We start from the raw sequence: 20,486 nt of genomic DNA, 5'->3' as shown, positions 1-20,486 counted from the left end.
ATCCATTTAATCGAAAGTGTTGAGCTACAAACTGGTGACTAAATGTTTAGTTATCTCTTTGGTGCTAGCTGTGTCACTTTATTTGTTCCCCTACTCAGATAAGAGAAATACATGAAACGTATTTGTTTAACATAGTTGGGTTCTCCTTACCTTCCTCAAGCACATCAATCCAGAAAACCCAGGGAGAAGATGTTGTTTTAAAATGTAATGTAGTGTGAAAATTTCAATTCCCAAAGAACAGCAGATTTTGTAACACGGTAAATGAAAAACAAAATTGTATACAGCTCCATTGACAATTGAACTTTGCCCCAACCTCAATTACCTCTCCTCTTGTCCCTTATTCTATACAGCAACTTGAATAAGGCTTTACTTGAATTTCCTTAACAAATAGGAAATGTTTTGTAATTTAGTGTTAGTGTCAAAATAGAAAATCTGTTTTTTTGAATACTCCAAGATTATTTATTTGTTACTATTCACATGTTTTTGCAATTGCTTTTTTTTCTTTTTCCTTTTCCTTGGGATCTTCTTGTTCCCCATGGTTTTATATAAAGAACCTCTACAGTTTCATTTTTTAAAATTTTCACTTCTTTTTCAAATTGTACCTGCTAAAAGCTTTGCTGTGAGCTATAAAACTAATTCCAAAGAGTTGACAAAGATTTCACACTTAAAGTGGATGAGATCTTAACAATTTTATTCTAGGAAAAATAGCTCCTTCAAGTAGTGGTTTGACTATTTACACCTTTAGAGAAAAATCTTTGTCTCATTGTCAAACTAACTTTGAGAAAGGATCTATGTTCCTTTGGAAGTCATTCTGGGGGCTGTGTGAAAATACTTTTGAGTTTATACAATATGCTTTTTCCTTCTTCTTGAAGATAAAAGGTGACTTTTTAAACATTTTTTTCTATGGACGCTCTTCCTATTTAAAAAACAGTATTTTCAGATCCAAGCAAAGAAGATTTTACTATATTATGTTCTTTTCAATAAAGGGTGGCAAGTGAGATTTATAGGAAAATAGAACTTTGCAAAAGGGTTCTAAGGTGTTTATTCTTATAATATGCTAGAATGACTAGATGGAGAATTTACTCAAACTCTCTCTTCCATTCCCTCATTTAGTAATACAGGGATATAGGATATATGTAGCCCCATATGGAAAAAGGTATTAGAAAATATGTCACATTACTTTAAAAGTACATTATCATTGTACCTAGACATTCTTTCATTGGTGATCAGCCTTATGTAATAATTTAGGAATTACATAAGGTGGTTGGAATAACATAGAATTTCCTACTATCAGTTTACAATTTTGTGCTTCCTTTAAGTAATATTTAATTTGATTAAAATTGATTATTCCATTGTGATTTTGCAGGTCATGGCTGATGTGATTAGGATGAGTAGGGAAAAAGATGGCATTTTTTTTTAAATTATACCTTAAATTCTAGGGTACATGTGCACAACATTCAGGTTTGTTACATAGGTATACATGTGTCATGTTGCTTTGCTGCACTCATCAACTCGTCATTTACATTAGGCATTTCTCCTAATGCTACCCCTCCCCCAGCCCCCCAGCCCCAGACAGGCCTCTGTGTGTGATGTTCCCCACCCTGTGTCCAAGTGTTCTCATTGTTCAACTTCCACTTATGAGTGAGAATATGTGGTGTTTGGTTTTCTGTCCTTATGATAGTTTACTTAAAATAATGGTTTCCAGCTTCATCCCTGTCCCTGCAAAGGACATGAACTCATTCATATTTATGGTTGCATAATATTCCATGGTGTATATGTGCCACATTTTCTTAATCCATTTGGGTTGGTTCCAAGGTTTTGCTATTGGGAATAGTGCCACAATAAACATACATGTGCATGTGTCTTTATAGCAGCATGATTTATAATCCTTTGGATATATACCCAGTAATGGGATTGCTGGGTCAAATGGTTTTTCTAGTTCTAGATCCTTGAGGAATCACCACACTGTCTTCCACAATGGTTGAACTAATTGACACACCCACCAACAGTGTAAAAGCATTCCTATTTCTCCACAGCCTCGCCAGCATCTGTTGTTTCCTGACATTTTAATGATTGCCATTCAAACTGTCATGAGATGGTATCTCATTGTGGTTTTGATTTGCATTTCTCTGATGACCAGTGATGATGAGCATTTTTTCATATGTCTGTTGGCTGTATAAATGTCTTCTTTTGAGAAGGGTCTGTTCATATCCTTTGCCCACTTTTTGATTTTTTTTTTTTTTTTTTGTAAATTTGTTTAAGTTCTTTGTAGATTCTGGATATTAGCCCTTTGTCAGATGGGTAGATTGCAAAATTTTCTCCCATTCTGTAGGTTGCCTGTTCACTCTGATGATAGTTTCTTTTGCTGTGCAGAAGCTCCTTAGTTTAATTAGATCCCATTTGTCTATTTTGTCTTTTGTTGCCATTGCTTTTGGTGTTTTTGTCATGAAGTCCTTGCCCATGCCTACGTCCTAGGTTTTCTTCTAGGGTTTTTATGGTGTTAGGTCTTACATTTAAATCTTTAATCTATCTTGAGTTAATTTTTGTATACAGTGTAAGGAAGGGATCCAGTTTCAACTTTCTACATATGGCTAGCCAGTTTTCCCAGCACCATTTATTAAATAGGGGATCCTTTCCCCATTGCTTGTTTTTGTGAGGTTTGTCGAAGATCAGATGGTTGTAGATGTGTGGTGTTATTTCTGAGGCCTCTATTCTGTTCCGTTGGTCTATATCTCTGTTTTGGTACAAGTACCATGCTGTTTTGGTTACTGTAGCCTTGTAGTATAGTTTGAAGTCCGGTAGTGTGATGCCTCCAGGTTTATTCTTTTTGCTAGGATTGTCTTGGCTTTGCAGGCTCTTTTTTGGTTCCATAGGAACGTTAAAGTAGTTTTTTCCAATTCTGTGAAGAAAGTCAGTGGTAGCTTGATGGGGATGGCATTGAATCTATAAATTACCTTGAGCAGTATGGCCATTTTCAAGATATTGATTCTTCCTATCCATGAGCATGGAATGTTCTTCCATTTGTTTGTGTACTCTTTTATTTCATTGAGCAGTGGTTTGTAGTTCTCCTTGAAGAGATCCTTCACATCCCTTGTAAGTTGGATTCCTAGGTATTTTATTCTCTTTGTAGTAATTGTGAATGGGAGTTCACTCATGATTTGACTCTCTGTTTGTCTATTATTGGTGTATAGGAATGCTTGCGATTTTTGCACATTGATTTTGTATCCTGAGACTTTGCTTATCAGCTTAAGGAGATTTTGGGCTGAGCTGATGGGGTTTTCTAAATATACAATCATGTCATCTGCAAACAGAGTCAATTTGACTTCCTCTTTTCCTAATTGAATACCCTTTATTTTTTTCTCTTGCCTGATTGCCCTGGCCAGAACTTCCAACACTATGTTGAATAGGAGTGCTGAGATAGGGCATCTTTGTCTTGTGCCAGTTTTCAAAGGGAATGCTTCCAGTTTTTGCCCATTCAGTATGATATTGGCTGTGGGTTTGTCATAAATAGCTCTTATTATTTTGAGATATATTCCATCAATACCTAGTTGATTGAGAGTTTTTAACATGAATGGGTGTTGAATTTTATCGAAGGCCTTTTCTGCATCTTTTGAGACAATCATGTGGTTTTTGTCGTTGGTTCTGTATGTGATGGATTACATTTATTGATTTGTGTATGTTGAACCAGCCTTGCATCCCAGGGATGAAGCTGACTTGGTCGTGGTGGATAGGCTTTTTGATGTGCTGCTGGATTCGGTTTGCCAGTATTTTATTGAGGATTTTCACATAGATGTCCATCAGGGATATTGGCCTAAAGTTCTCTTTTTTTGTTGTGTGTCTGCCAGACTTTGGTATCAGGATGATACTGGCCTCATAAAATGAGTTAGGGAGGATTCCCTCTTTTTCTATTGATAGGAAGAGTTTCAGAGAAAATGGTACCAGCTCCTCTTTGTACCTACAATACAATTTGGCTGTGAATCCGTGTGGTCCTGGACTTTTTTTGGTTGGTAGGCTATTAACCATTGCCTCAATTTCAGAGCCTGTTATTGGTCTGTTCAGAGATTCAACTTCTTCCTGGCTTAGTCTTCGGGGATTGTATGTGTCCAGGAATTTATCCATTCCCTCTAGATTTTCTAGTTTATTTGCATAGAGGTGTTTATGGTATTCTCTGATGGTAGTTTGCATTTCTGTGGGATCGGCGGTGATATCTCCTTTATCATTTTTTATTGCTTCTGTTTGATTCTTCTCTCTTTTCTTTATCAGTCTTGCTAGCGGTCTATTTTGTCAATCTTTTCAATAAACGAGCTCCTGGATTCATTGATTTTTTGAAGGATTTTTTGTGTCTCTATCTCCTTCAGTTCTGCTCTGATCTTAGTTATTTCTTGCCTTCTGCTAGCTTTTGAATGTGTTTGCTCTTGCTTCTCTAGTTCTTTTAATTGTGATGTTAGGGTGTCGATTTTAGGTCTTTCCTGCTTTCTCTTGTGGGCATTTAGTGCTATAAATTTCCCTCACACACTGCTTGAAATGTGTCCCAGAGATTCTGGTACGTCTGTCTTTGTTCTCATTGGTTTCAAAGAACATCTTTATTTCTGCCTTCATTTGTTATTTACCCAGTAGTCATTCAAGAGCAGGTTGTTCACTTTCCATGTAGTTGTGTGGCTTTGAGTGAGTTTCTTAATCTTGAGTTGTAATTTGATTGCACTGAAAGACAGCTTGTTGTGATTTCTGTTCTTTTACATTTGCTGAGGAGTGTTTTACTTCCAATTGTGTGGTCAGTTTTAGAATAAGTGCATGCGGTGCTGAGAAGAATGTATACAGAAGAAGAGTTCTGTAGATGTCTATTAGGTCTGCTTGGTGCAGAGGTGAGTTCAAGTTCTGGATATCCTTGTTAATCTTCTGTCTCATTGATCTGTCTAATATTGACAATGGGGTGTTAAAGTCTCCCATTATTATTGTGTGGGAGTCTAAGTCTCTTTGTAGGGCTGTAAGGACTTGCTTTATGAATCTGGGTGCTCCTGTATTGGGTGCATATATATTTACGATAGTTAGCTCTTCTTCTTGAATCGATCCCTTTACCATTATGTAATGGCCTTCTAGTGTCTGTTGATCTTTGCTGGTTTAAAGTCTGTTTTATCAGAGACTAGGATTGCAACTCCTGCTTATTTTTTGCTTTCCATTTGCTTGGTAGATCTTTCTCCATCTCTTTATTTTGAGCCTATGTGCATCTGTGCATGTGAGATTGGTCTCCTGAATACAGCACAGTGACGTGTCTTGACTCTATCAAATTTGCCAGTCTGTGTCTTTTAATTGGGGCATTTAGCCTGTTTACATTTAAGGTTAGTATTGTTATGTTTGAATTTGTTCCTGTCATTATGATGTTAGCTGGTTATTTTGCCCATTAATTGATGCAGTTTCTTCATAGCGTTGATGGTCTTTACAATTTGGCATATTTTTGCAGTGGCTGGTACTGATTGTTCCTTTTCATGTTTAGTGCTTCCTTCAGGAGCTCTTGTAAGGCAGGCCTGGTGGTGACAAAATCTCTCAGCATTTGCTTGTCTGTAAAGGATTTTATTTCTCTTTCACTTATGAAGCTTAGTTTGGCTGGATATGAGATTCTGGGTTGAAAATTCTTTTCTTTAAGAATGTTGAATATTGGCTCCCACTCTCTTCTGGCTTGTAGGGTTTCTGCCGAGAGATCCACTGTTAGTCTGACGGGCTTCCCTTTGTGGGTAACCAGACCTTTCTCTCTGGCTGCCCTTAACATTTTTTCCTTCATTTCAACCTTGGTGAATCTGACAGTCATGTGTCTTGGGGTTGCCCTTCTTGAGGAGTATGTTTGTGGTGTTTGCTGTATTTCCTGAATTTGAATGTTGGCCTGCCTTGCTAGGTTGGGGAAGTTCTCCTGGATAATATCCTGAAGAGTATTTTCCAACTTGGTTCCTTTTTCCCCGTCACTTTCTGGTACACCAATCAAATGTACATTTGGTCTTTTTACATAGTCCCATATTTCTTGGAGGCTTTGTTCATTTCTTTTCACTTTTTTCTCTTATCTTCTCACTTTATTTCATTAATTTGATCTTCAATCACTGATATCCTTTCTTCCACTTGATCGAATCTGCTATTGAAGCTTGTGCATGCAACACGAAGTTCTTGTGCTGTGGTTTTCAGCTCCATCAGGTCATTTAAGGTCTTCTCTACACTGTTTATTCTAGTTAGCCATTCATTTAACCTTTTTTTCAAGGCTTTTAGCTTCCTTGCGATGGGTTAGAACATGCCCCTTTAGCTCGGAGAAGTTTGTTATTTCCGACCTTCTGAAGCCTACTTCTGTCAACTCATCAAACTCATTCTCCATCGAGTTTTATTCCCTTGCTGGTGAGGAGCTGCGATCCTTTGGAGGAAAAGAGATTCTCTGGCTTTTGGAATTTTCAGCTTTTCTGCTGTGGTTTCTCCCCATCTTTGTGGTTTATCTCCCTTTGGTCTTTGATGTTGATGACCTATGGATGGGGTTTTGGTATGGATGCCCTTTTTTGTTGATGTTGATGCTATTCCTTTCTGTTTGTTAGTTTTTCTTCTAACAGTTAGGTCCCTCAGCTGCAGGTCTGTTGGAGTTTGCTGGAAGTCCACTCTAGACCCTGTTTGCCTGGGTATCACCAGGGGAGTCTGCAGAACAGCAAATATTGCTGCCTGATCTTTCCTCTGGAAGCTTTGTCTCAGAGGGGCACCCGCCTGTTTGAGGTGTCTGTTGGCCCTTTCTGGGAGTTGTCTCCCAGTCAGGCTACACGGGGGTCAGTGACCTGCTTGAGGAGTCAGTCTGGCCATTCTTGGAGATCGAACACAGTGCTGGGAGGACCACTGCCATCTTCAGAGCTGTCAGACAGGGACGTTTAAGTCTGTAGAAGCTGTCTGCTGCCTTTTGTTCTGCTATACCTTGCCCCCAGAGGTGGAATCTAGCAGCTTTTTGAATGGAATAAAAAGCACTAGTTCTATCCTTTATATTCTCTGCAGAAAGTCAATGAAGTAGGGAAGTGGGTGGGGATATAAAGGAGCAATAAACAGAAATATATCAAAATTAAGAGGAAATATTTAGACATCTCATTTATTTTATTAACTGCTTTATAAATGTTCATATACTATGGGCACAACCTGAGTTTGTATTACGTGCATTACAAGATACTCAGTACAATGCCTTGAACACATGAAGGTAAATCCAAGTTTTGATTAAGCATATTAGAAGGTAGTGTTAAAAGAAAACTTTAGACGAGTTAATTTTGATGGAGTTTAATTGAGCAAAAAAAGAAACAATTCGCGAATCAGGCAGCCTCCAGAATCACAGAAGATTCAGAGAGACTACAGGGGTGGATCATGGTCAGAAGAAATGTACAGACAAAAAGGTAAATTGACATACAGGAATTGGAAGTGAGGTACAGAAACGGCGATACTGGTTACAGCTCGGCGTTAGCCTTATTTGAATGCAGTTTGAACATTCAGCAGTCCATGAGTGGTTGAAGTATGGCTGCTGGAATTGGCCAAAACTCAGCTTTTCTTACAGGTGCACACTATTAAGTTAGGTTTTCAATTTTATCGGCCTATTAATTTAGGTTATGGTTCGTCCACAAGGACTCAAATATAGAAGTATAGAGTCCTGGAGGGAGGAGCCAAGATGGCCAAATAGGAACAGCTCCGGTCTACAGCTCCCAGCGTGAGCGACGCAGAAGACGGGTGATTTCTGCATTTCCATCTGAGGTACCGGGTTCATCTCACTAGGGAGTGCCAGACAGTGGGCGCAGGTCAGTGGGTGCGCCCACCGTGTGCGAGCCGAAGCAGGGCAAGGCATTGCCTCACCTGGGAAGCGCAAGGGGTCAGGGAGTTCCCTTTCCGAGTCAAAGAAAGGGGTGACGGACGCACCTGGAAAATCGGGTCACTCCCACCCGAATATTGCGCTTTTCAGACCGGCTTAAAAAACGGCGCACCACGAGATTATATCCCACACCTGGCTCGGAGGGTCCTACGCCCACGGAGTCTCGCTGATTGCTAGCACAGCAGTCTGAGATCAAACTGCAAGGCGGCAGCGAGGCTGGGGGAGGGGCGCCCACCATTGCCCAGGCTTGCTTAGGTAAACACAGCAGCTGGGAAGCTCGAACTGGGTGGAGCCCACCACAGCTCAAGGAGGCCTGCCTGCCTCTGTAAGCTCCACCTCTCCGGGCAGGGCACAGACAAACAAAAAGACAGCAGTAACCTCTGCAGACTTAAATGTCCCTGTCTGACAGCTTTAAAGAGAGCAGTGGTTCTCCCAGCACGCAGCTGGAGATCTGAGAACGGGCAGACTGCCTCCTCAAGTGAGTCCCTGACCCCCGCGCAGCCTAACTGGGAGGCACCCCCCAGCAGGGGCACACTGACACCTCACACGGCAGGGTATTCCAACAGACCTGCAGCTGAGGGTCCTGTCTGTTAGAAGGAAAACTAACAAACAGAAAGGACATCCACACCAAAAATCCATCTGTACATCACCATCATCAAAGACCAAAAGTAGATAAAACCACAAAGATGGGGAAAAAACAGAACAGAAAAACTGGAAACTCTAAAAATCAGAGTGCCTCTCCTCCTCCAAAGGAACGCACTTCCTCACCAGCAATGGAACAAAGCTGGATGGAGAATGACTTTGACGAGCTGAGAGAAGAAGGCTTCAGACGATCAAATTACTCTGAGCTACGGGAGGACATTCAAACCAAAGGCAAAGAAGTTGAAAACTTTGAAAAAAATTTAGAAGAATGTATAACTAGAATAACCAATAGAGAGAAGTGCTTAAAGGAGCTGATGGAGCTGAAAACCAAGGCTCGAGAACTACGTGAAGAATGCAGAAGTCTCAGGAGCCGATGCGATCAACTGGAAGAAAGGGTATCAGCAATGGAAGATGAAATGAATGAAATGAAGCGAGAAGGGAAGTTTAGAGAAAAAAGAATAAAAAGAAATGAGCAAAGCCTCCAAGAAATATGGGACTATGTGAAAAGACCAAATCTACGTCTGATTGGTGTACCTGAAAGTGATGGGGAGAATGGAACCAAATTGGAAAACACTGTGCAGGATATTATCCAGGAGAACTTCCCCAATCTAGCAAGGCAGGCCAACGTTCAGATTCAGGAAATACAGAGAACGCCACAAAGATACTCCTCGAGAAGAGCAACTCCAAGACACATAATTGTCAGATTCACCAAAGTTGAAATGAAGGAAAAAATGTTAAGGGAAGCCAGAGAGAAAGGTCGGGTTACCCTCAAAGGGAAGCCCATCAGACTAACAGCAGATCTCTCAGCAGAAATCCTACAAGCCAGAAGAGAGTGGGGGCCAATATTGAACATTCTTAAAGAAAAGAATTTTCAACCCAGAATTTCATATCCAGCCAAACTAAGCTTCATAAGTGAAGGAGAAATAAAATACTTTACAGACAAACAAATGCTGAGAGATTTTGTCACCACCAGACCTGCCCTAAAAGAGCTCCTGAAGGAAGCGCTAAACATGGAAAGGAACAACCGGTTCCAGCCACTGCAAAATCATGCCAAAATGTAAAGACCATGAAGACTAGGAAGAAACTGCATCAACTAACGAGCAAAATCACCAGCTAACATCATAATGACAGGATCAAATTCACACATAACAATATTAACTTTAAATGTCAATGGACTAAATGCTCCAATTAAAAGACACAGACTGGCAAATTGGATAAAGAGTCAAGACCCATCAGTGTGCTGTATTCAGGAAACCCATCTCACGTGCAGACACACACATAGACTCAAAATAAAAGGATGGAGGAAGATCTACCAAGCAAATAGAAAACAAAAAAAGGCAGGGGTTGCAATCCTAGTCTCTGATAAAACAGACTTTAAACCAACAAAGATCAAAAGAGACAAAGAAGGCCATTACATAATGGTAAAGGGATCAATTCAACAAGAAGAGCTAACTATCCTAAATATATATGCACCCAATACAGGAGCACCCAGATTCATAAAGCAAGTCCTGAGTGACCTACAAAGAGACTTAGACTCCCACACATTAATAATGGGAGACTTTAACACCCCACTGTCAACATTAGACAGATCAAGGAGACAGAAAGTCAACAAGGATACCCAGGAATTGAACTCAGCTCTGCACCAAGTGGACCTAATAGACATCTACAGAACTCTGCACCACAAATCAACAGAATATACATTTTTTTCAGCACCACACCACACCTATTCCAAAATTGACCACATAGTTGGAAGTAAAGCTCTCCTCAGCAAATGTAAAAGAACAGAGATTATAACAAACTATCTCTCAGACCACAGTGCAATCAAACTAGAACTCAGGATTAAGAATCTCACTCAAAACCGCTCAACTACATGGAAACTGAACAACCTGCTCCTGAATGACTACTGGATACATAACAAAATGAAGGCAGAAATAAAGATGTTCTTTGAAACCAACAAGAACAAAGACACAACATACCAGAATCTCTGGGATGCATTCAAAGCAGTGTGTAGAGGGAAATTTATAGCACTAAATGCCCACAAGAGAAAGCAGGAAAGATCCAAAATTGACACCCTAACATCACAATTAAAAGAACTGGAAAAGCAAGAGCAAACACATTCAAAAGCTAGCAGAAGGCAAGAAGTAACTAAAATCAGAGCAGAACTGAAGGAAATAGAGACACAAAAAACCCTTCAAAAAATTAATGAATCCAGGAGCTGGTTTTTTGAAAGGATCAACAAAATTGATAGAATGCTAGCAAGACTAATAAAGAAGAAAAGAGAGAAGAATCAAATAGACACAATAAAAAATGATAAAGGGGATATCACCACCGATCCCACAGAAATACAAACTACCATCAGAGAATACTACAAACACCTCTATGCAAATAAACTAGAAAATCTAGAAGAAATGGATAAATTCCTCGACACATACACTCTCCCAAGACTAAACCAGGAAGAAGTTGAATCTCTGAATAGACCAATAACAGGAGCTGAAATTGTGGCAATAATCAATAGCTTACCAACCAAAAAGAGTCCAGGACCAGATGGATTCACAGCCGAATTCTACCAGAGGTACAAGGAGGAACTGGTACCATTCCTTCTGAAACTATTCCAATCAATAGAAAAAGAGGGAATCCTCCCTAACTCATTTTATGAGGCCAGCATTATTCTGATACCAAAGCCGGGCAGAGACACAACCAAAAAAGAGAATTTTAGACCAATATCCTTGATGAACATTGATGCAAAAATCCTCAATAAAATATTGGCAAAACGAATCCAGCAGCATATCAAAAAGCTTATCCACCATGATCAAGTGGGCTTCATCCCTGGGATGCAAGGCTGGTTCAATATACGCAAATCAATAAATGTAATCCAGCATATAAACAGAAACAAAGACAAAAACCACATGATTATCTCAATAGATGCAGAAAAAGCCTTTGACAAAATTCAACAACCCTTCATGCTAAAAACTCTCAATAGATTAGGTATTGATGGGACGTATTTCAAAATAATAAGAGCTATCTATGACAAACCCACAGCTAATATCGTACTGAAGGGGCAAAAACTGGAAGCATTCCCTTTGAAAACTGGCACAAGACAGGGATGCCCTCTCTCACCACTCGTATTCAACATAGTGTTGGAAGTTCTGGCCAGGGCAATTAGGCAGGAGAAGGAAATAAAGGGTATTCAATTAGGAAAAGAGGAAGTCAAATTGTCCCTGTTTGCAGACGACATGATTGTATATCTAGAAAACCCCATTGTCTCAGCCCAAAATCTCCTTAAGCTGATAAGCACTTCAGCAAAGTCTCAGGATACAAAATCAATGTACAAAAATCACAAGCATTCTTATACACCAACAACAGACAAACAGAGCCAAATCATGAGTGAACTCCCATTCACAACTGCTTCAAAGATAATAAAATACCTAGGAATCCAGCTTACAAGGGATGTGAAGGACCTCTTCAAGGAGAACTACAAACCACTGCTCAAGGAAATAAAAGAGGATACAAACAAATGGAAGAACATTCCATGCTCATGGGTAGGAAGAATCAATATTGTGAAAATGGCCATACTGCCCAAGGTAATTTACAGATTCAATGCCATCCCCATCAAGCTACCAATGACTTTCTTCACACAATTGGAAAAAACTACTTTAAAGTTCATATGGAACCAAAAAAGAGCCCGCATCGCCAAGGCAATCCTAAGCCAAAAGAACAAAGCTGGAGGCATCACACTACCTGACTTCAAACTATACTACAAGGCTACAGTAACCAAAACAGCATGGTACTGGTACCAAAACAGAGATATAGATCAATGGAACAGAACAGAGCCCTCAGAAATAACGCCGCATATCTACAACTATCTGATCTTTGACAAACCTGAGAAAAACAAGCAATGGGGAAAGGATTCCCTATTTAATAAATGGTGCTGGGAAAACTGGCTAGCCATATGTAGAAAGCTGAAACTGGATCCCTTCCTTACACCTTATACAAAAATCAATTCAAGATGGATTAAAGACTTAAATGTTAGACCTAAAACCATAAAAACCCTAGAAGAAAACCTAGGCATTACCATTCAGGACATAGGCATGGGCAAGGACTTCATGTCCAAAACACCAAAAGCAATGGCAACAAAAGCCAAAATTGACAAATGGGATCTAATTAAACTAAAGAGCTTCTGCACAGCAAAAGAAACTACCATCAGAGTGAACAGGCAACCTACAAAATGGGAGAAAATTTTCGCAACCTCCTCATCTGACAAAGGGCTAATATCCAGAATCTACAATGAACTCCAACAAATTTACAAGAAAAAAACAAACAACCCCATCAAAAAGTGGGCAAAGGACATGAACAGACACTTCTCAAAAGAAGACATTTATGCAGCCAAAAAACACATGAAAAAATGCTCATCATCACTGGCCATCAGAGAAATGCAAATCAAAACCACAATGAGATACCATCTCACACCAGTTAGAATGGCAATCATTAAAAAGTCAGGAAACAACAGGTGCTGGAGAGGATGTGGAGAAATAGGAACACTTCTACACTGTTGGTGGGATTGTAAACTAGTTCAACCGTTGTGGAAGACAGTGTGGCGATTCCTCAGGGATCTAGAGCTAGAAACACCATTTGACTCAGCCATCCCATTACTGGGTATATACCCAAAGGACTATAAATCATGCTGCTATAAAGACACATGCACACGTATGTTTATTGTGGCATTATTCACAATAGCAAAGACTTGGAACCAACCCAAATGTCCAACAATGATAGACTGGATTAAGAAAATGTGGCACATATACACCATGGAATACTCTGCAGCCATAAAAAATGATGAGTTCATGTCCTTTGTAGGGACATGGATGAAATTGGAAATCATCATTCTCAGTAAACTATCACAAGAACAAAAAACCAAACACCGCATATTCTCACTCATAGGTGGGAATTGAACAATGAGATCACATGGACACAGGAAGGGGAATATCACACTCTGGGGACAGTGGTGGGGTGGGGGGAGGGGGGAGGGATAGCATTGGGAGATATACATAATGCTAGATGACGAGTTAGTGGGTGCAGCACACCAGCATGGCACATGTATACATATGTAACTAACCTGCACAATGTGCACATGTACCCTAAAACTTAAAGTATAATAATAAAAAAAAAAAAAAAGAAATATGGAGTCCTTCTCAGGACATATTTAGTTTGCTTTAAAAGTAGAAAAATTTTGGAAAATAGAAAAAGTTATAATAATATTCTTTTCTTTTTACTTTTATCTTTACTTCTTTACCACAGTATAAGCCTGAGTCTTTTCTCTATCTTGTGATTGAATCATATTAATCATACATTTTAAAATATATCAATCCAGTGTGAGATAACTACTGGTATCATAGGAAATTGAATAAAATTACAAGATCATATACATCTTGTTAAATAGGTAGGAATAGAAGAATTTTGTAGCCTCAAAACATCTATTTGATGTAACTTACATGTGAAACTGAATATAGCATTTTCCCCAATATCTCACATGACATTCATAAAAATAAAATTTTTATTTAATAAAATTTTAAACTTAAAGTTTAATTTTTATTTTAAAAATTAGGTTTAAAATAACAGCTTTATTAGAAAAGAGATAGACAATTTCTCCAGATAATAGTTTATCAGAAATTTTATCAAGTTATTATAAATAATCTATACTGAGACATGTCTTGGTAAAGTTACTAGACGTTCAAGATAGAGAAAAAAATACCGTGCACATTTGAGGAGACTAATTTGTCACCATTTTTAGGAAAACTAAACTAGGTTGGTTCTGTACTTTATATGCCCCAACAGCAAAACATTGTCTACAACATCTTTAGTAAAATAAAGGATGCTCTAAGAATTGTTTAACCAACCAAATTTTTGCTCAGAGTTAAAACAGGAAGGAAACATTTTCAAACATGTAAGAATTCAGAAACAATAGCAGCACACATTCTTCTTAGAAAAGCAAGACAAAGAAAAAAAAAAGGAAATTTAGCTTACCAGGAGATAAATTTAAAACCTGTGAAGGAAGGGACTGGTAGTAAGAATTAAATTATTTCAATTCATAACAATTGTTAAAATTATGGCTACAAAAGACAACGTAAATATTCTAAATCCTGACAATATAGAAATAATAATTTGATAAAATTGGAAAGTGGAAGTGATATACATTTAAGTTTTCAAGATTAAAATAATCATATTTACATGTATAATGCTACAGATTAGTTGAACAGATCATACTCTTTCCACATTACCAGAAAAAAAGTTTTTAAACAACAAAACAAGTATTATACAAACAAGTATTAAACAAAACAAGTATTATACAAACAAAATTACAAATCACATTATATAAAAGACAAAAACACTAAGAGAACATAAAAACAAAATAACATGATGGAATTCTGATTAAATTTCATATCAGTAAAATATTTTATTAAAAATAACTTTCAGATGGTATAATAATAATATATCTTTATGTGGTATATATAAGAGATACATTTGAAATAAAAATGGAAAGTAAAAGGATGGAGTCTGTGAATCTTTATGTACCAAGTAATATGCCATGAATATTAAGAAAACAAAAGCCATGAGAAACAATGTAAAATAATAAACAGTAACATAACTATAATTAAAACATTAATTTATCTTTCTTATATCTGAGGAACGAAATCACAAAAGAAGCCTATGAAGGGCAAATTAATGTAATTAATCAGGTAGATTTAAATAATATATAATGAATTGTACAGTTGGGGAGAAAGAGAGACAGAATCACACACACACAGAAGAACATCTAGAACTGATCCTAGATGAAGAGCAAAGAAAACTTTAATAATTTTCAAAATGAAGAAGTGGTACAAAACAACTTTTTGGAACTCAAAAATCAATACAATTTAAAGTGATAGCATAAAACAAGGATATAAACAAAAAATTCCATATGGAAATTTAAAAAGAAAAACAATTCTTCCTTTCAAAAATCTCTGAGGTAAAGAAAAATAAAGCATCACTGGCATATTATATAGATTAAAAAAATGAAAACTTAAAACTGCATGTATTAAAACCTAAGGAATACAGCTAATGTAAGGCTTAAAGAAAGAATCACAGCCAAGCACCTATATTATTAAACAAGAAAGACTACTTTATGAACTAAATATGTTCTTTCAAACAAAATAAACCAAAGTCTATTTAAAGAAAAATTAATATAAAGATAAAAAGCACAAGTTAATGAATTAAAACATGGAAAAGCATAAGAAATAATAACTACTCAACTAGATTTTTGGCTAAAAGAACTACCGACTGAGGTAATCAAAGTAGAAAAAATAAACAACAAAAAATTAAAATGGAAAAATCAGCCAATTTGTGGTCAGTTAATATTAGTTGACTGGATAAATGAGTAAAAGGCAATTTTATAGGTTCTTTTCTTGAATTTATTCAAATACACATAAGTTACATTAAATTTGGCCTTATGTGAACTATGCCTATAAGTGAATTTAGATTTTTCTTTTTATCTTTAGTCACATTTATTTTTTTTTATTTATTTTTTTTTTTAGCTATTCTTTTTTTTTTATTATACTTTAAGTTTTAGGGTACATGTGCACATTGTGCAGGTTAGTTACATATGTATACATGTGCCATGCTGGTGCGCTGCACCCACTAACTCGTCATCTAGCATTAGGTATATCTCCCAATGCTACCCCTCCCCCCACCCCACCACACTCCCCAGAGTGTGATATTCCCCTTCCTGTGACCATGTGATCTCATTGTTCAATTCCCACCTATGAGTGAGAATATGCGGTGTTTGGTTTTTTGTTCTTGCGATAGTTTACTGAGAATGATGGTTTCCAATTTCATCCATGTCCCTACAAAGGACATGAACTCATCATTTTTTATGGCTGCATAGTATTCCATGGTGTATATGTGCCACATTTTCTTAATCCAGTCTATCATTGTTGGACATTTGGGTTGGTTCCAAGTCTTTGCTATTGTGAATAATGCCGCAATAAACATACGTGTTCATGTGTCTTTATAGCAGCATGATTTATAGTCATTTGGGTATGTACCCAGTAATGGGATGGCTGGGTCAAATGGTATTTCTAGTTCTAGATCCCTGAGGAATCGCCACACTGACTTCCACAATGGTTGAACTAGTTTACAATCCCACCAACAGTGTAAAAGTGTTCCTATTTCTCCACATCCTTTCCAGCACCTGTTGTTTCCTGACTTTTTAATGATTACCATTCTAACTGGTGTGAGATGGTATCTCATAGTGGTTTTGATTTGCATTTCTCTGATGGCCAGTGATGATGAGCATTTTTTCATGTATTTTTTGGCTGCATAAATGTCTTCTTTTGAGAAGTGTCTGTTCATGTCCTTCGCCCACTGTTTGATGGGGTTGTTTGTTTTTTTCTTGTAAATTTGTTTGAGTTCATTGTAGATTCTGGATATTAGCCCTTTGTCAGATGAGTAGGTTGCGAAAATTTTCTAGGAATCCAACTTACAAGGGATGTGAAGGACCTCTTCAAGGAGAACTACAAACCACTGCTCAAGGAAATAAAAGAGGATACAAACAAATGGAAGAACATTCCATGCTCATGGGTAGGAAGAATCAATATCGTGAAAATGGCCATACTGCCCAAGGTAATTTACAGATTCAATGCCATCCCCATCAAGCTACCAATGACTTTCTTCACAGAATTGGAAAAAACTACTTTAAAGTTCATATGGAACCAAAAAAGAGCCCGCATCGCCAAGGCAATCCTAAGCCAAAAGAACAAAGCTGGAGGCATCACACTACCTGACTTCAAACTATACTACAAGGCTACAGTAACCAAAACAGTATGGTACTGGTACCAAAACAGAGATATAGATCAATGGAACAGAACAGAGCCCTCAGAAATAACGCCGCATACCTACAACTATCTGATCTTTGACAAACCTGAGAAAAACAAGCAATGGGGAAAGGATTCCCTATTTAATAAATGGTGCTGGGAAAACTGGCTAGCCATATGTAGAAAGCTGAAACTGGATCCCTTCCTTACACCTTATACAAAAATCAATTCAAGATGGATTAAAGATTTAAACGTTAGACCTAAAACCATAAAAACCCTAGTAGAAAACCTAGGCATTACCATTCAGGACATAGGCGTGGGCAAGGACTTCATGTCCAAAACACCAATAGCAATGGCAACAAAAGCCAAAATTGACAAATGGGACCTAATTAAACTAAAGAACTTCTGCACAGCAAAAGAAACTACCATCAGAGTGAACAGGCAAGTCACATTTATTTTTATGCACTTTATTCATGTAGCACTACATGAAATTAAATTGTTATAAGGCTGACAATCGTTTGGTTCATAACCTGTCTTGACTGGGTCAGCTGCTTCTTGTCCATGGTCATAGACCTAAGTTCAATTATGGCATAGACTTCCAGATTTGTTGTATTGTCTCCCAAACGTAGCCACTAGACAGATTTTCCTTCCATTAAATTGCTCTGATTTGCATGTCTAGGCTCTGTCCCTCTTTTTATCCCTAAACGTAGAAGCTTAGCCCAACAGCAGTTTGTTATTTCTCACATATTTGAGTTGGCTGGGCACATCTGCTGGTCTGGGCTAAACTCAGCTGATTTTAGCTGAATTTTCTCATATGTCTCATTAAATACAGGTGTGTTTTTTAGATACAGGGACATGTGAAGAGTTAGGGCTATTAGTATAATCAATTCACCACAGACATATTGCATGGTAGGCTATGAGGAGAGTTATTTCTTACATTTGGTGGATGTTCAAAGGTGGCAATCTGAACTATGAAAGTTTTGAGTATGTGTCTCTAAGTTATGAGGAGTAATATTTACTTCAGAGTGGCAGAAGTGAGATATATTTGGACACACTTTGAGTATAAAGTATTTAAAGTAGAGAATGAAAATCTTAAAATTGATATAAATGATGGAAAATCTATTGTAGGCCTTAAGGTGGCATAGCAAAAGTAATAGAATGCACATTATTTTACAGTAGCAAAGAGATAGATTGGAGGAAAGGTCATTGTAGAGGAGGAAAGGTAGCTGCTGTGGTTAATTTGAGAGAAAATGAATTCCAAGATAAGAGAAATAAGCAAACAATTAAAACTAATGCTCTGTTCATGCATTATTTTTATACAACCTTAGTAGTTTTCTTAAAGGCATGGTGAAATGGAATATTTATTATTATTGTTTTTTAACCTGACTATGTCTTTCATTCAGGTTTTACTGCCAAAGGTGAGATTTGTAAGCAAAATGAATAATTATTGTATTTATCTAGTTTCTAATAGCTTTTACCTGTTTTCTTTCCTACAAGCTTCTTAGATGTATAATCCTCTGGGGATTTGTCTAACTATCTCTGGGTTGTATGGCCTTTGTTACTGCCTGCTCAACAGAGGTCATCTCTTCCATAGCATAGATTCTTTTAGTTCAATAGTGGCTGTGGGGAGAAAAGAGGAAAGCATATTAAAACCACAATACCTTTTGTATCGACTAATTCTAATACCATAGTACTTAATGGGAAAGACATGAGATTTTTATGGATAGAATTTAGGATTTATGCCAAAAATATCAACTCCTTTCCCTACTAAATGACCTAAAGACAGATTATGCACGTGCTTTGCAAAATAAAATGAAAACAAATATCACTATTAACTTTTAAAATATTAACTCAAAATTGTCCCATTATTTTATTACATAAAACTAAAATCTGGAACTAAACTAATTGCTTCTAGAATATAGACCTCTCTCCCTATATATAATTATTAGAATCTTGGCTCTGGAATATTTATAGAATCAGAAAAATCCTTTAGTGAAATCATAAGTATAATACTATTATATATAGTATGAACTTTTTATCACTCCTTATTCATATTGCAGGCTACCCTGAGAGTGTGTTGATATATTTTAGTGAAAAAAAATTGAGGGTAATTGAGAAATTCACATGAGGATGACTACATGCTTACCTTATTTGATATGATTAAAGTACAAAACTTTATTCTAAAATGTTGACACATTTTAAAACATAAAAAAGTGATATTGCTTCTATTCCATTAACATAATTCAATTTTTCTTATATTCTTTCTGTTGTTAATATTTCATAATTAAAATCTATTTTATATTTCTGCTGTTTCAAAGGTTAGATAGACATCCTTGGACATTAACTATCTGTCAGCTTATAGGATGGGATTGAAAATTTAATTCTTCCTTTTTATTAAACTTTAATGGACAATTTCACAGTTTTGAGTTTTTTGTGACATGCTCAATACAGTGGCTCTTTGATCTGCAAGAAGTATTGAAAGAATAACTTTAAAGACATAAGCTCACAATGTATTCAGGCTTTTGTTGTAAAAATGTGCATCATTACTGGGTGACTAAAGAAGAAGCTAACTAATAAAGGTATAGATTTTTTTTTCTTTTCAAAATGGTAACAAATGTGATAGTTAAAATTTTATAATGGTTTCTTTATTTTTGAAACTATGCTAGGGAAGACTGTCATAGACACTGTGAATAGTTCAGGGAATAATGTCAGACTCATGTGCCAACTTGGAATGAGGACTACTAAAATAAAATTATAATTTCTGTTTCTTCATGTTTGATGTAGTGTTAGCCTATTTCAATTAAATCATTTCCTTACTCATTAATTAAAAAACACTGAAACTTGCATTTAACAAAAATTAATATTACATCACATGCATTTTTATAGTTCATTTAAACTCATCTATTATGTCATTAAATACTTTATTTATTTATAATGAAATGGCTTATTAAATAGTTAAGAGCATAAATATTTTATAATACCTAAAAAAGTATTTTATCCTTTTAAAGCTATATGGATATTAATATACCTTTAGGTAAAAGCAAGTTGAAATATGGGAGAGCACATCTTTTTCAATGCATAATATTTTCCTGAAAATTTTGAAAACTGAAAGATATTGAATTGTCTATTTTATAATAATT

The 20,486-nt window shown here is 36.8% G+C and overlaps 1 long non-coding RNA gene across 1 annotated transcript in view, besides 1 other annotated feature; it reads left to right on the top strand.

The window, feature by feature from the left end:
• The window catches only part of LOC105376755 (uncharacterized), a 673,333-nt gene that overhangs the window by 318,316 nt on the left and 334,531 nt on the right, over positions 1–20,486 (top strand). The gene's annotated exons all lie outside the window — the stretch shown is intronic.
• Positions 7,398–7,950: an enhancer, noted in NCBI's record as "NANOG-H3K27ac-H3K4me1 hESC enhancer chr2:195937963-195938515 (GRCh37/hg19 assembly coordinates)". NCBI's record gives its function as "activates a minimal SCP1, AML or CMV promoter by ChIP-STARR-seq in naive H9 embryonic stem cells {active_cell/tissue: H9 hESC(naive)}" and the evidence as "EXISTENCE:reporter gene assay evidence [ECO:0000049][PMID:30033119]".

This window comes from Homo sapiens, chromosome 2, assembly GCF_000001405.40.
Source record: "Homo sapiens chromosome 2, GRCh38.p14 Primary Assembly".
In the NCBI taxonomy this organism is placed as follows: domain Eukaryota; kingdom Metazoa; phylum Chordata; class Mammalia; order Primates; family Hominidae; genus Homo; species Homo sapiens.
The sequence above is the reverse complement of the archived record's forward strand: the minus strand, read 5'-3'. Positions and strand labels throughout refer to the sequence as shown.